The following is a 3021-nucleotide window of genomic DNA, read 5'->3' as shown; positions in this document are numbered from 1 at the left end:
TTTAAATTTAAAATGTATTATTGATAATTTGAATATAGACTTGAGGAAGTATGCTAAAAGATTAAATGTACATTTATTAATCCTATAAAAAGCTTAAAATGTGTATAATAAGTTTGACTTTATATGTTTAGCTCATTAAATTAACAAAATAGTTTATTTGAAAAAGTTTTGTTTCTATTGGGGTAGATATAACTAAAAGTGATGCAGGATTTTTTGCTCCTTAATACAGCTAAAATCTGGGATCTTGTCTCACGACCTGGAAAAATTAGGCACACAAACACATTGAAAGGTGAACAGGGCACAGTATTAAAAGAAAGCTTTCAGCAAAAAAAGGGGGGGCCCTGCCAACAGGCTCCCATCTCATGGATTGAATACGAGGCCACACCACAAGAGCTGAAGAGGCCAGGCTCCACCCCACTGCATAATGCGCGAATTCCCAGTGGCTCCACCCCATTCTCCCAGTGCACAGGCAGGCCCTTAGTCTGAGACACTCCACATTGATTTATTTCTCTTACTGCATATGTGTAAAGGGCCGGAATTTTTCATCGTGGGCATGTTTAGGCAAGCCCCTTGCGCACAGTGACCTAGGAGGCATGTGGTTGTCTCCTGTCTCTATCAGAAGTAAGGGAATTGGCAAGTATTAATTAAAAGCCCTATTGAAATTACAATTTTATTTATTAGATTTATAAAGTGTAAAAAAAACTTTGTAATTATTTAGAATAGCTGTTTTTAATTTATATTTTTAATGATTTGAATATTCATTTTGAAAACTCCCTATTAACTCTAAGTTTGTCAAAATCACATTATTCTTGCATATAGTACAGTACATACTCTGTGACTGTTCATTGGTCAAAATAGTGACAACAGAGCAAGAGAGGGCATGTGAGATTATACAAGTGTTCTTCCAAGCAATAATTTATTTTTAAAAAGTTAAGTAATTTCACCAAGACGAAGTTTGCACACAGATATTAATATCGGAAAATTGTGCAATGGCTATAAGGCTAAAGTCCTCAGTAGCAATTTTTAAAAGATGAAGGCACAATTTTCATATGTCTTTTCTTTTATTGGACCTAAATAAAAAATAAGATTATATTATTAATTTTAGCATTGCATGGAGAATTCAAATAACATAACAAATATATTTCATGCTAGTGGTTTATGGATAACCTAAAATAATAAAAAATTAATTTTCTGATATGTATACATTAACTGGACTTTTGGGAGGAGGTCAATAGTAAATAACTAATATTGAAATCGCTACTAATGCTCAAGATGTGAAAATTCTGTATTTCAGGCAGCAAAGTTGACATTTTGTTGAAAAATTGAAGATGCTGAAACATGTTATTGACTCATTTGAGTACTAGTCAATTTTTCACAGCAGTGAGATAGGAACTTTTCTCTAGATAGGGTCAGTAAATGTTTGTTGACATAGTTTTGAATCCATTCAAATTATCAAATAATGATTTAAACACTATTATTTTCCATTTTAAAACATTAAAAAATGTTTGGAATGACCTTGAGGATTTTGAAAGTAGGAATATTCAATTGTCTTTATGTATTACAAAAGTACTTGAGTAAAATTTGTACAAGTTTTAATTTTGAACGGATTTAGCCTGCCGAAAGAAAGTTAACTCAAATGTACGCTCTCACCCCGCCAACAGACAAATTGTTTGACAAGTTGAGTTTAGTTATTTGGTATATTCCATCTACAACGACAGTCTTCCAAATTTATACCTTTTGTTTTGGGCATAGATCATAACAAATTATTTTAATTTTTTCCCGATAGTAACTATACAGTGGTTTTTGTATATTTTGTATATTTCGGACCATCACTGTGCTATGGGATTAAAACTATGGCATCAACGTAGAAGAAAATGATCATCTTATTCCAGTCTTCCTCAGTCACCTTCTTCCACAATACTTTGTGAAAACTCGGTATGCCAGACCCAGATGCAGCACAGATAAGGCTAATCACATAAACGAGAAAATAAAACCTATTCCCTCTTATCCTAGTTCCTAATGAATTGACAAAAGAAGAAAAAGCAAGAGTAACATGTGCCTCACCGCCCCCACAACACTCCTCAAGTTGAAAGCCCAGGAAAGGGTAGAATTCAGTGTGGGAAGCAACGAAAGAAGGGCTTTTAAGAATCCCACTTTACATGCAGTATTCTGTGGGCAGACCACCTCCCAGCTGCCTCACACAAACCTCAAAATAAATTCAGTGGAATTTCATTGTTAAGCTGACAGAAGACTGAAGTTTTGCTTCCTATATGATAAGAATGAAACAAAAATTCTTCTCATGCTTCTGAAGGGCATGGGGATGTTTAGAGTACGGCCAGTGGCTCTCACAAGAGGGAATCATTGAGGCAGGCCAATGTTTTCTCAAAACTAGAACACTGGGTCCAGCGGCCAATAGCAGAGAAATCATATTAAAGTCACAGACCTAAGGGATGTCTACGGGAATATCAATGGATGAAGGGGAGATAAGCCACTGGGGAAGACCATGAGATACTATCTCCATTGAGAGAAGACAGACAATAAGTTACTGTGGAACATAAGTTACACCAATGTTGTCAGCTGGAGATTCCTGCAGATTATCTGGGACAAGGCCAGTCATCCTCAGCTCAACTGTCACCAGTCTGGGGAGGATCCTTAGCTATTGGATGGTAAATACCAGCATGATCCAAAGTCTGCCTCATGGATCCATAAAACCCATATCTTCTCTGCAAGCGTAAGGTCCCTATCACAAAAAAACTGCAACCTCATATACTAAAAGGCCACTTCATGCCACCTTGAGAGACAGGATTTATCTGAAACAGAGATAAAATTGCCTAAAGGAACAGTTTTAATTTCCTGATTAGACCAAAATCCATAATTATTTATTTCCTCTTCAACTGTGAGGGAAGAGCAGATGAATTTATAAAAATTCTGTTTTTCTGAATGTATTTAATACATGAGTAAGAATTGTCTTTTTTTTTTTTTTTTTTTTTTTTTTTTTTGAGACAGAGTCTGACTCTGTCG

The 3021-nt window shown here is 35.3% G+C and overlaps 2 annotated features.

Moving 5' to 3' along the window:
- Positions 2600–2769: an enhancer, noted in NCBI's record as "experimental_75023 CRE fragment used in MPRA reporter constructs". NCBI's record gives its function as "activates a minimal promoter by MPRAs in K562 erythroleukemia cells, with activity observed for both the introgressed and non-introgressed 4:157406256 or rs79104594 variant alleles {active_cell/tissue: K562}" and the evidence as "EXISTENCE:reporter gene assay evidence [ECO:0000049][PMID:34662402]".
- Position 2684: a transcriptional cis regulatory region, noted in NCBI's record as "Neanderthal adaptively introgressed variant 4:157406256 (GRCh37/hg19 assembly coordinates) or rs79104594 in the experimental_75023 CRE". NCBI's record gives its function as "modulates activity of the experimental_75023 enhancer by MPRAs in K562 erythroleukemia cells {active_cell/tissue: K562}" and the evidence as "EXISTENCE:reporter gene assay evidence [ECO:0000049][PMID:34662402]".

This window comes from Homo sapiens, chromosome 4 (assembly GCF_000001405.40).
Source record: "Homo sapiens chromosome 4, GRCh38.p14 Primary Assembly".
NCBI classification, from domain to species: Eukaryota; Metazoa; Chordata; class Mammalia; order Primates; family Hominidae; genus Homo; species Homo sapiens.
This window is presented reverse-complemented; position numbering and strand designations above follow the sequence as displayed.